This window comes from Homo sapiens, chromosome 17 (genome assembly GCF_000001405.40).
Source record: "Homo sapiens chromosome 17, GRCh38.p14 Primary Assembly".
NCBI classification, from domain to species: domain Eukaryota; kingdom Metazoa; phylum Chordata; class Mammalia; order Primates; family Hominidae; genus Homo; species Homo sapiens.
This window is the reverse complement of record NC_000017.11, coordinates 75,929,686-75,941,427: the sequence shown is the minus strand read 5'-3', so window position 1 is coordinate 75,941,427 and position 11,742 is coordinate 75,929,686. Positions and strand designations below refer to the sequence as shown.

At 50.2% G+C, this 11,742-nt stretch overlaps 1 protein-coding gene across 1 annotated transcript in view, besides 2 other annotated features; it reads left to right on the top strand.

Annotated features, from left to right (window-relative positions):
- Window positions 168–237: an enhancer, noted in NCBI's record as "active region_12784". NCBI's record gives its function as "activates an Ori minimal core promoter by ATAC-STARR-seq in GM12878 lymphoblastoid cells {active_cell/tissue: GM12878}" and the evidence as "EXISTENCE:reporter gene assay evidence [ECO:0000049][PMID:35858748]".
- Window positions 348–617: a silencer, noted in NCBI's record as "silent region_8998". NCBI's record gives its function as "represses an Ori minimal core promoter by ATAC-STARR-seq in GM12878 lymphoblastoid cells {active_cell/tissue: GM12878}" and the evidence as "EXISTENCE:reporter gene assay evidence [ECO:0000049][PMID:35858748]".
- The window catches only part of FBF1 (Fas binding factor 1), a 31,469-nt gene continuing 20,112 nt past the window's right edge, over window positions 386–11,742 (top strand). The window contains exons 1-7 of the mRNA NM_001319193.2: window positions 386–580; window positions 3,196–3,281; window positions 3,835–3,862; window positions 5,755–5,796; window positions 8,340–8,433; window positions 10,139–10,199; window positions 11,381–11,431. Coding sequence (NP_001306122.1) covers window positions 3,279–3,281; window positions 3,835–3,862; window positions 5,755–5,796; window positions 8,340–8,433; window positions 10,139–10,199; window positions 11,381–11,431 — 279 coding nt within the window. The 5' untranslated portion in view covers window positions 386–580; window positions 3,196–3,278. The remainder of the gene's footprint in view (window positions 581–3,195; window positions 3,282–3,834; window positions 3,863–5,754; window positions 5,797–8,339; window positions 8,434–10,138; window positions 10,200–11,380; window positions 11,432–11,742) is intronic.

Below are 11,742 nucleotides of genomic sequence, written 5' to 3'. Positions count from 1 at the left end.
CAGTCACTTCCCTCAAGCTTTGGGGTGTGGAATAAACACCGGTGAATTTGTGGATTCACCCGTCAACCTCCCAATATCAACACATTTCTCACGCCTCCGCGTCGGCCACGTGTCAGCCCTCAGAAGTGGGCAGGAGGAACTTTTAAGCTTCCCGGCAGTTCCCAAGAGGGCCTTTGAGCCTGGCGCCCTCTTCCCGGAGAGGCGTTGGGGCAGCTCCTAGCAACGTGCCCGCCGCCGGCAGAAGCCCGGCCCCGCCAACTGCCGCGCGCGGCTCCCTGGGAGCTGTAGTTCTTCATGGCGTCCCCACCTCCTCTGTGAGGGCGGGTGAGTCGACCGCCGACTGCGACTCCCAGGATGCCTCGCGCCCGCCTTTCCGCGGGAGGCCAGACGGCTGAGGGTGCCGGCAGCGGCTGGAAGCGGGAGGCCAGTCCTGGCCGGGCTGGGCGACCCGAATGGAGCCAGGGCCGGCGCTGGTCCCAGCGGCCGCACCTCCGGGGGCACGGCGCGTAACAGGAGGCTTCCGGGGCTGAGAGCGTTACAGGCTGCGCTCCGGGGCCAGATAGGCCGGGCGCTCAGAAGGGTGACGCATTGAGGGGCGCGGAGTCTCGGGACGGAGGGGCGACTCCGGCTAGGGGTCTTGCTTAGGGGTGGTCTCGGGATCTGTAAAACGCCTGGCATGGAGTCGGCTGAATACATGTGGGGACGGGGTTACTCTGTAGCCCTTTGGCCTTGGCAAACCAAGCCTAGAAAATCCCCATAGTCTGAGAAGCCCGTACAGGATCGATAGGAGATGCCAGAAGTTCCTTGATGTGTTATGGGACACATTTGGACTTGTAGGTCGTGAAGTCGCCATTGCAGAGAAAAAGAAACAAGGCCGGGCACGGTGGCTCACGCCTGTAATCCCGACACTTTGGGAGGCCAAGGCGGGAGGATCACTTGAGGCCAGGCGTCTGGGACGACCCTGGGCAACATAGGGAGACCCCCGTCTCTACAAAAAAAATTTTAAAATTTGCCGCACATGGTGGCGTGTGCCTGTGGTCCCAGCTGCTAGGGAGGCTGACATTGGAGGATCGCCTGAGCCCAAGGAGGTCGAGGCTGCAGTAAGCTATGAGAGCTGTGATCGTGCCACTGCACTCCAGCCTGGGCAACAGAGCGAGACCCTGTCTGGAAAAAAAAAAAAGAAAGAAGGCCAGGCGTGGTGGCTCACACCTGTAATCCTAGCACTTTGGGAGGCCGAGACGGGCAGATCACGAGGTCAGGAGTTCGAGACCTCCTGGCCAACAGTGAAACCCCGTCTCTACTAAAAATACAAAAATTAACCGGGCATGGTGGCATGTGCCTGTATTCCCAGCTACTCGGGAGGCTGAGGCAGGAGATTCGCTTGAACCCGGGAGGCTGAGGTTGTGGTGAGCCAAGATCGCACCACTGCACTCCATCCTGGGCAACAGAGCAAGACTCCGTCTAAAAAAAGAAAAAAAAGAAAACACATGTATTCAGGGTGGGCTCTGTAGGTAAGCCCAGATAACCCTTGCATTCCAATAACAGGACAGGCCAATACTTGGGACATAAAGAGGACCCCTCTGACTCCTTTCTTCCAGGACATCCTGTAGGTGGGTTTTGGTAAAGTGGAGGAGGGGGAGGGAGACAGCTAATTCCGAGGAAAATGTTCTCAATGGGTCAGATTTACTGCCTATGTAAAGGGAAATATTTCCACTGTCAGTGAAAATCGTGTTGCTGGACGTGGTGGCTCACACCTGTAATCCCAGCACTTTGGAAGACCAACGCAGGAGGATTGCTTGAGCCCCAGAGTTCAATACCAACCTGAGTAACACAGTGAGACCCCGTCTCGAAAAAAAAAATTTTAAAAAGAAAAAGAATATCAAAGAGTAACCAGAGTTCATACCTGCTTTTGTGCTAAATGCTGCCTAGAAAGTAGTCATGGGTGTTGCCTGGGAAAGGGTTTCAGCCTTGGTGCCAGGCACCCACCTCCTTTCTGAAATGAGTACTTGCCACTTGCTGCATCGGCTTTCAGGGTAAGGGATGATGGCCACTGCCCTTTTTTCAAGTAATCTCAAAGCCTCAGAAAGCCCATTAAGTTATCCAGAGCACGTTTTTTTTTTTTTTTTTTTTTTGGAGACAGAGTCTCGCATGTTGCCCAGGCTGGAGTGCAGTGGGGCGATCTCGGCTCACTGCAACCTTCTCCTCCTAGGTTCAACCTAGTCTCCTGCCTCAGCCTCCTGAGTAGCTGAGATTACAGGCATATGCCACCATGCCCAGCTAATTTTTGTATTTTTAGTAGAAATGGGGTTTCACCATGTTGGTCAGGCTGGTCTTGAACTCCTGACCTCAAATGATCTGCCCACCTCAGCCTCCCAAAGTGCTGGGATAACAGGTGTGAGCCACCGCGCCCAGCCTGAGAGTACTTTGCTCCTCTTCTGAAGTGCATCCCCTATAAGGAATTTTTAATTTATGGAAATGGGCTTTACCTCTTGAATGGGCAAAGTGAGAGAACTTTGATAACCCTTGGATTCATGCTGTTAAACCTACATCTTTTTTTTTTTTTGAGATGGAGTCTTGCTCTGTTGCCCAGGCTAGAATGCATAGCATGATCTCAGCTCACTGCAACCTCCGTCTAGCGGGTTCAAGCGATTCTCCTGCCTCAGCCTGCCAAGTAGCTGGGATTACAGGTGCCTGCCACCACACCCAGCTAATTTTTTGTATTTTTTAGTAGAGGTGGGGTTTTACCATGTTGGCCAAGCTGGTCACGAACCCCTGACCTCAGGTAGTCCACCTGCCTCGGCCTCCCAAAGAGTTTTGGGATTACAGGCATGAGCCATCGCGCCCGGTCTCTTTTTTTTTTTTTTTTTTTTTTGAGATGGAGTCTCACTCTGTTGCCTAGGTTGGAGTGCAGTGGCGCGGTCTTGGCTCACTGCAGCTTCCACCTCCCCGGTTCAAACGAGTCTCTTGCCTCAGCCTCCTGCTGCGGGATTACAGATGTACACCACCACACCCAGCTAATTTTTGTTTTTAGTAGAGACAGGGTTTCACCATGTTGGCCAGGCTGGTCTTGAATTCCTGACCTCAGGTGATCCCCCCGCCTTGGCCTCTGAAAGTGCTGGGATTAACAGGCGTGAGCCATGGCGCCCAGCCAAAGCTACATCATTTTTAAGCAACCACTTTAATTTTCTTCATTAGGGAGTATGAGCCTGATGTGGGCAGAATCCAGATGAGCTGGCCAGTGCTGTGAAGGAGCTGAGAGCACCCCCGAGAGCCGTGAGATGGTAGGCAGAGTTCAGAGTAAGATGCATGGAAAGCGAACATGCCTCCCATCCTGCATCCCCAAAGATCTTGACTGCATGCAACACTCTGGGGGCTGGGCGGCAAGGACCAGGATGGAGACCCTGGAGAAGAGTGACAGGAGGTGGCATTGATACCAAACTTTCGACGACCAAGGTTTCTTCTGAGACTCTGAGTGTCCAGCTGGAAGCGTTTTTAAGTGTCTGTCACTGGTATTGAGGAGTCAGGGGCACGGAATAGAAGACATTTCCGGTCACATGACATCTCGGCTGGGAGGGTTTGCATGTCGTGTCTGGGAAAGGAGTGACCTGCCCGCCCATTGGCACCCATCGCTGGTTAGCAGGGCTGTTTCCACGCTCTGAATGAGTCCGTTCTCAGAAACTATAGGAACACATAAAGGACTTACATCTCTAAATGCCATTGGTGCTCTTGCCTCTGGTTACTTGGCAAAAGGCAACGCAATTCATTCTGCATTGCCAATTTCCACCTGTGTTCACTGTTTGGTTTTCTTGATGTGATTTGTTTTTCCCATTTTAGGCACCAAAAACCAAGAAAGGATGTAAAGGTGAGTGGAGAGATGGAACATTACTCTTAAGCCAAATATATATCTTTTTCCCCTTTGGTCCTGGAACAATGAGATGTGTTTATTTAAATGTTTTTGGGCCGGGCACGGTGGCTCACACCTGTAATCCCAGCGCTTTGGGAGGCCGAGGTGGGTGGATCATGAGGTCAGGAGATCGAGACCATCCTGGCTAACACGATGAAACCCCGTCTCTGCTAAAAATACAAAAAATTAGCCGGGCGTGGTGGCGGGTGCCTGTAGTCCCAGCTACTCGGGAGGCTGAGGCAGGAGAATGGTGTGAACACAGGAGGCGGAGCTTGCAGTGAGCCGAGATCTCACCACTGCACTCCAGCCTGGGCAACAGAGTGAGACTCCGTCTCAAAAAAAAAAAAAATGTTTTTGATCAGTCTTGCTGTTCTTCCCATTATTCCGTAGGCAGCCTTGGTCTTCCTTATGTTGCCTCACTGGTCCTCAGAGAAGTTCAGACGTAAATAAGATATGAGGTTTTGGAAAAAATCCTCCTCCTTGGGCTCTGTATCCAGAAATATGTGGTTGGGATTCAGGGTGGGAAAGCTGGTGTGGGGAAACGAATTCGATATTCATACTTAGGTTCCCCCACATGCCTCCATCAGAAAGTGGCCATTGATGAGGACATCCAGACCAGTTCTGGGGGGTCTTAGATGGAAGGGTACAAGGAGCCTACTTGTCTGAAAGTAGCCTCCATGTGCCTAGAAATCTTGGGCACTCTTCCCAGCGAGCTGCACTGGGCTGTGTTCAGGGTCTGGAAGACTGATCTTTGGCCAGTGTGTCATGGTAGGCAGGTAGAATATAGGTTCTGCTGAAAATCTGCACCATCATCCTTTCAGATAGTTGTGTTTTTTTGTTTTTTTTTTTAAGACGGAGTCTTGCTCTGTTGCCCGGGGTAGAGTGCAATGGCGTGATCTCAGGTCACTGCAACCTCTGCCTCCCAGTTTCAAGCAATTCTTCTGCCTCAGCCTCCCCAGTAATTGGGATTACAGGCATGTGTCACCATGCCCGGCTAATTTTTGTTTTGGTTTTGTTTGTTTGTTTGTTTTTGAGACGGCGTCTTGCTCTGTCACCCAGGCTGGAATGCAGTGGCGCGATCTCGGCTCACTGCAACCTCTGCCTCCCAGGTTCAAGCAATTCTCCTGCCTCATCCTCTCCAGTAGCTGGGATTACAAGCATGCGCCACCAGGCCCAGCTAATTTTGGGGGGGGTCTTTTTGTTGTTTTTTGAGACGGCGTATCGCTCTGTCGCCCAGGCTGGAGTGCAGTGGTGCGATCTCGGCTCACTACAAACTCTGCCACCCGGGTTCAAGTGATTCTTCTGCCTCAGCCTCCCGAGTACCTGGGACTACAGGCACATGCCACCACACCTGGCTAATTTTTTGTATTTTTAGTAGAGACAGGGTTTCACTGTGTTAGCCAGGCTGGTCTCGAACTCCTGACTTCAGGTGATCCACCCGCCTTGGCCTCCCAAAGTGCTGGGATTGCAGGTGTGAGCCACCGCGCCCAGCCATTTTTTTTGTATTTTTAGTAAAGACAGGGTTTTGCCATGTTGGTCAGGCTGGTCTCGAACTCCTGACTTCAGGTGATCCACCCGCCTCGGCCTCCCAAAGTGCTGGGATTGCAGGTGTGAGCCACTGCGCCCAGCCTGAGATAGTTATTTAAATTTCTGCCTCGGGGTATTTCAACAAGGCTTTGTGACTTGTTGCCAGAAACTTGTAAAACATCTCGTGGCCAATGAAAGGAGAGCTAAGCCTAAGTCCCAACATCTGAAAGGTCTGACGCCTTCTGGCGAGTCTCAAGCCTTGATGTTTATAAGGGCCACTCTTCTTTCCTCCTGAAGTCATGACAGTCCCTTTTCTGTTCCAGGCTCCATTGATGATTTTCTTGGTGACCTTCTAGGGGATGATAGTAAGTGTGCCTTGCCCAGAATCCCCTAATTTGGGCTGCTGCTGTTGCTTTTTTTTCTTACTATGTTGCCCAGGCTGGTCCCAAGCTTCTGGACTGAAATGATCCTCCCGCCTCCTAAACCAAAGTGCTGGGATTACAGGCATAAGCCACTACACCCGGCCTTTTTTAAAAATTGAGATATATGCGCCTGTAATCCCAGCACTCTGGGAGGAGGAGGAGGGCCAATCACAAGGTCAGGAGTTCAAGACCAGCCTGACCAACATGGCGAAACCCCATCTCTACTAAAAATACAAAAAAAAATTAGCTGGGCATAGTGGCGGGCGCCTGTAATCCCACCTACTTGGAAAGCTGAGGCAGGAGAATCACTTGAACCCAGGAGGCGGAGGTTGCAGTGAGCCAACGTTGCACCACTGCGCTCCAGCCTGTGCGACAGAGCGAGACTCCGTCTCAAAAAAAAAAAAAAAATGAGATGTAATTTATATAGCATAAAGTCCACTCCTGTAAAGTGTACAACTCAGTGGTTTTTGAATATTCAAAAGTTGTACAACCATCAACATTACCTAATTCCGGAACATTTTCCATCACCCCTTAAAGAAACCCCATGCCCATTAGTAGTCAATTTCATTCTCTCCTCCCTCCAACCTTAGGCAAGCACTTATTATTTACTCTCTGTCTCTATGGATTTGCCTATTGTGGACACTTTACATAAAATGGAATCACACAGCATCTTACCTTTTTTTTTTTTTTTTTTTGAGACAGAGTTTCACTCTTGTTGCCCAGGCTGGAGTGCAATGGCGCAATCTCGGCTCACCGCAACCTCCACCTCCCAGGTTCAAGCAATTCTCCTGCCTCAGCCTCCTGAGTAGCTGGGATTACAGGCGCTCGCCACCACGCCCAGCTAATTTTGTATTTTTAGTAGAGATGGGGGTTTCTCCACGTTGGTCAGTCTGGTCTCGAACTCCCAACCTCAGGTGATCCACCCATCTTGGCCTCCCAAAGTGCTGGGATTACAGGTATTGAGCCACCGCGCCCGGCCAGCATCTTACCTTTACATCTAGCTTTTTTTTTTTTTTTTTGAGACAGAGTCTCACTGTGTCACCCAGGCTGGAGTGCAGTGGCACCATCTCGGCTCTGCCTCTGCCTCCTGAGTTCAAGCGATTCTCGTGCCTCAGCTTCCCAAGTAGCTGGGGTTACAGGCATGCACCACCACAACCAGCTACTTTTTGTATTTTTAGTAGAGATGGGTTTTCGCCATGTTGGCCAGGCTGATCTTGAACTCCTGGCCTCAAACACCTGCCTCAGCCTCCCAAAGTGTTGGGATTACAGGCATGAGCTACCATGCCTAGCACACGTAGCTTCTCTGATGTAGCATAATATTTTCCAAGTTTATCCACACTGTGGCATGAATCAGTACTTTAACTTTTTTATGGCTAGATAATGTTCCATTGTGTAGATAAATCACATTTTGTTTAATCCCTTCATCAGTTGATGGATATCTGAGATATTTCCACATTTCGGCTGTTATGAATAATGCTGTTATGAACGTTCGTGTACTAGTTTTTGGGCGGACATGTGTTTTCAGTTCATTTGGAATTCCTGGACCATATGGTAACTGTATGTTTAACTTTTTGAGGAGACTGCTTTTCCACAGCAGCTGTGCCATTTTACATCCCACCAACAGTGTAAGATGGCTCTAGTTCCTCTACATCCTTGCTAATACTTGTTTTCCTTCTTTTTGATGATTGCCATCCTAGAGGGTGTAAAGTGGGTATCTCATTGTAGTTTTGATGTGCATTTCCCTAATGACTAATGATGTTCAGCATCTTTTCATGTGTTTATTGGCCACGTGTATATCTTTGGAGAAATGTCTGTTCAGATCCTTTGCCCCTTTTTAATTGGGTTACTTGTCTTTTTATCGTTGAGTTAAAAGAGTTCCTTGTAGATTCTGGATGCTAATCCATATTATTTGTGTTCGTGTTGGTCTATTAAGGAACCTGGCTTCATGGTCATGTAAAGCTCACCAGGGACAGAGAGACTTAGGTTTCCCCTACATGGCCCCAGAGAACCCACAAAGCTCCTGTCACCCAGGCTGGAGTGCAGTGGCGCAATTTCAGCTCACTGCAATCTCCGTCTCCCGGTTCAAGCGATTCTCCTGCCTCAGCCTACTGAGTAGCTGGGATGGATTACAGGCACCCACCACCACGCCTGGCTAATGTATTCCAGCCCATGTATTCCAGCCTACAGTTTTGGGCTGTGGAAAAGCAATTGTTCCTCATGCATTTCCTTGGGGTGCATTGAGTTGGGTTGGGTTGGGTTGGGCTCTTCATTTGGTATTTGGCATTTAGGGTTGACTTCCTCCTTGGAAATGTACCACCCTCTCTCCCATTCAGGTTTTCCAAGGGGTGACATTGGGACCTGCCTATTTGGCCAGATTTCTTCCTCCTAATACAGAGACAGCTTGGGAAGGGAGCTTGCCAGCCTTTGCATCTTGACTCCAGGTACCTTTAGTTAAATGACACGTTTTCTCTTTTCTTTTTTTCCAGTGACACTACCTGAGAAGCCTGTTAAACTAGCTTCACATACCAGAGACACCACAGGTGTATCTCAGATGTTCCCTTCTTCAAAGGCGAGAACAAAGTAAGGGCAGGGTCCGACTGGGTATCCATGACCTACTTCAGTCTAAATGCTCTCTGCCCCTCCACCCCCCACTTTCTACTTCACATTTGCTCGCCATTTTTTTTTTTTTTTTTTTTAGAGAATATTTGTTGCCGAGGCTGGAGTGCAGTGGCACCATCTCGGCTCACTGCAACCTCCACCACCCCGGTTCAAGCAATTCTCCTGTCTCAGCCTCCCAAGTAGCTGGGACTACAGGTGCCCACCACCACACCTGGCTAATTTTTGTATTTTTAGTAGAGACAAGGTTTCACCATATTGGTCAGGCTGGTCTCAAACTGACCTCAGGTGATCCGCCCACCTCGGCCTCCCAAAGTGCTGGGATTACAGGCGTGAGGCACCATGCCCGGCCCACCCGGCTAATTTTGGTATTTTTAGTGAAGACAATTTTACCACATTGCCCAGGCTGGTCTTGAACTCCTGGGCTGAAGCGATCCACTCAGTCTCCCAAAGTGCTGGGATTACAGGTGTGAGTCACTCGCACCTGGCCGTGCTCACTTCTAATGTCAGTTAATTTCCACCCACTTCCCTCAGCTCCTGGTTTTGTTTATTTATTTATTTATTTTTATTTTCTCTCTTTTTTTGAGATGGAGTCTCACTCTGTCACCCAGGCTGGAGTGCAGTGGTGCGATCGGCTCACTCTAACCTCTGCCTCCCAGGTTCCAGCAGTTCTCCTGCCTCAGCCTCCCACGCAGTTGGGATTACAGGCACACACCACCACGTCTGGCTACTTTGTTATTAGTGGAGATGGGGTTTCACCATGTTGACCAGGCTGGTCTCGAACTCCTGATCTCAGGTGATCTGCCCACCTTGGCCTCCCAAAGTGCTGTTATTACAGGCGTGCGCCACCGCGCCTGGCCAGCTCCTGGTTTTATTGAAGGAGCCTGGGGAAGTTAAAGAGAACTGCACAAAAGGTCAGCAGTCCTGGCTTCTATCCTCTATCTGTTACTTATGATATGACCTTGGGCAGTTTCTGAACTTCTCTGAGCCCTCATTTTCTTATCCTCAGAATTAAAGGATTGGCCTAGATCAGTGATTTTCAAATTGTGTTTGTTCTTCTAAGATAAGAATGAATACCCCACAGATGAGAGATAGGGAGGAATTTTCTGAGCCCTCCTCCCTCTTGTGATCTGGAGCAGTTGTTTTTCTTACTTTTTTTTTTTTACTTTATTTTTTGAGACAGAGTCTTGCTCTGTCGCCCAGGCTGGAGTGCAGTGGCGCAATGTCAGCTCATTGCAGCCTCCACCTCCCGGTTCAAGTGATTCTCCTGCCTCAGCCTCCTGAGTAGCTGGGATTACAGGTGCCCGCCACCACGCCTGGCTAATTTTTGTATTTTTAGTAGAGATGGGGTTTCACCATGTTGGCCAGGTTGGTCCCAAACTCCTGACCTCAAGTGATCCACCTGCCTCGGCCTCCCAAAGTGCTGGGATTACAGGCATGAGCCCCCACACCCAGCCCTATGGTTTTTAACAATTTGTTTTTGAAGCAGTTCTACTGCTAACAAAGTTGAAAATCACTGCATCAGGTGGCCTGTGACATTCCTTTTAGCACCTCTGTTCTCCGGAGAGACCTATCCGAGATTCCTTGGGCTTTCTAAGCTACTCCTCCCCTTTTTAGAGTCATCCAGTGCCCTGGGATGCAGGTAGGGGCTGACGCCTCCCCTTTGCAGGTCCCTCCTGGGTGATGATGTCTTCAGCACCATGGCAGGCCTGGAAGAAGCTGATGCTGAGGTGAGCCTGGCTGTTTCCCTCCACCTCCCTACTTATCCCCAGAAACACTGAGATGGGTGTTGTGGCCAAGGGGCTGCCCACGGAAGGGTTTAGAAGTCCCTGCAAAGTCACTTTGTTCTTTTTGTTTGTTTTTTGAGATGGAGTCTCCCTCTGTTGCTCAGGCTAGAGTGCAGTGGTGTGATCTCGGCTCACTGCAACCTCTGCCTCCCGGGGTCAAGCAATTCTCCTGCCTCAGCCTCCCAAGTAGCTGGGCTTACAGGTGCCTGCCACCATGACTGGCTAATTTTTGTTGTTGTTGTTTTTGTTTTGAGATGGAGTCTCCCTCTGTCGCCCAGGCTGGAATGCAGTAGTGCGATCTTGGCTCACTGCAATCTCCGCCTCCTGGTTCAAGCGATTCTCCTGCCTCAGCCTCTTGAGTAGCTGGGATTACAGGCACCCACCACCACGCCTGGCTGATTTTTGTATTTTTAGTAGAGATGGGGTTTCACCCTGTTGGTCAGGCTGGTCTCAAACTCCTAACCTCTTGATCCACCCACATCGGCCTCTCAAAGTACTGTGATTACAGGCTGACCCACCGTGCCCAGCCAAAGAAAATAATTTTTGTATTTTTAGTAGGTAATTTTGTATTTTTAGTAGAGACGGGGTTTCACCACATTGGCCAGGCTGGCCTCAAACTCCTGACCTCAAGTGATCTACCCGCCTCGGCCTCCCAAAGTGCTGGGATTACAGGCGTGAGCCACTGTAAATAATGCCCAAGGGCTGCCGAGTGGACCCAAAGCAGAATCCTCTTTCCTGTAGTAAGATGAGTGGAAAGGAGAGCTCCCTGAAACTGCTAGAGTCTTAGATGTTGCTCCTTTCCCCTTATAAACTCCATAGCTGTCCATTGGCATGGGTGGGAAGTAGCAGAATTTCAGTCCTGGATGGAAGAGTTCTCTATGGTTGGAAGGAGTAGGAATGGCAGTGCTCTCTGAGTCTCTAAAACCAGGCAGGTTTGGCTTCAAACAACTGCCAAGCCCAAGCAAGGGGAACAAAGCCACCCTCCTGTGTAAGCTCCATTGGCCAAGCTCTGCTCCTGCCGCGCCGTCTGCCCTAACAGAAGCAAGGGGCCAGGACCCTGAGTTTTATTGGGCCTTGACTAATGTGCCTCCTCATCTGTGTCCTCACCCTCATTGTGGACTTAGGTTTCAGGTATCTCAGAGGCAGACCCACAGGCTCTGCTCCAGGCCATGAAGGTAAGGAAACAGCTTGCACGATTCTTAGAACTGGGGGTGGGTGGGGTGGGGTCATGATATTTTGTACCAAAGCTTCATTCTCCTTCTAATTTCTCCCTTTACAACCTGTGTTTCTGAGCCCTTCCTCGTGCAAGCATGGAACTCGTCTGTGAGCCGTTGGCCTCCTTGCCTTTCTGAGTATCAACCAGTGTTCCTGGTATATAGAGAGTGGAGAGTGCCACAGGCCTCTGGGGAAACGGGGCCAGCTCTACTCGGAGGCCCACCTAGCTGGGTCCCCTCACCTCCACCTAGAAGACAGAGGGGGAGACTCT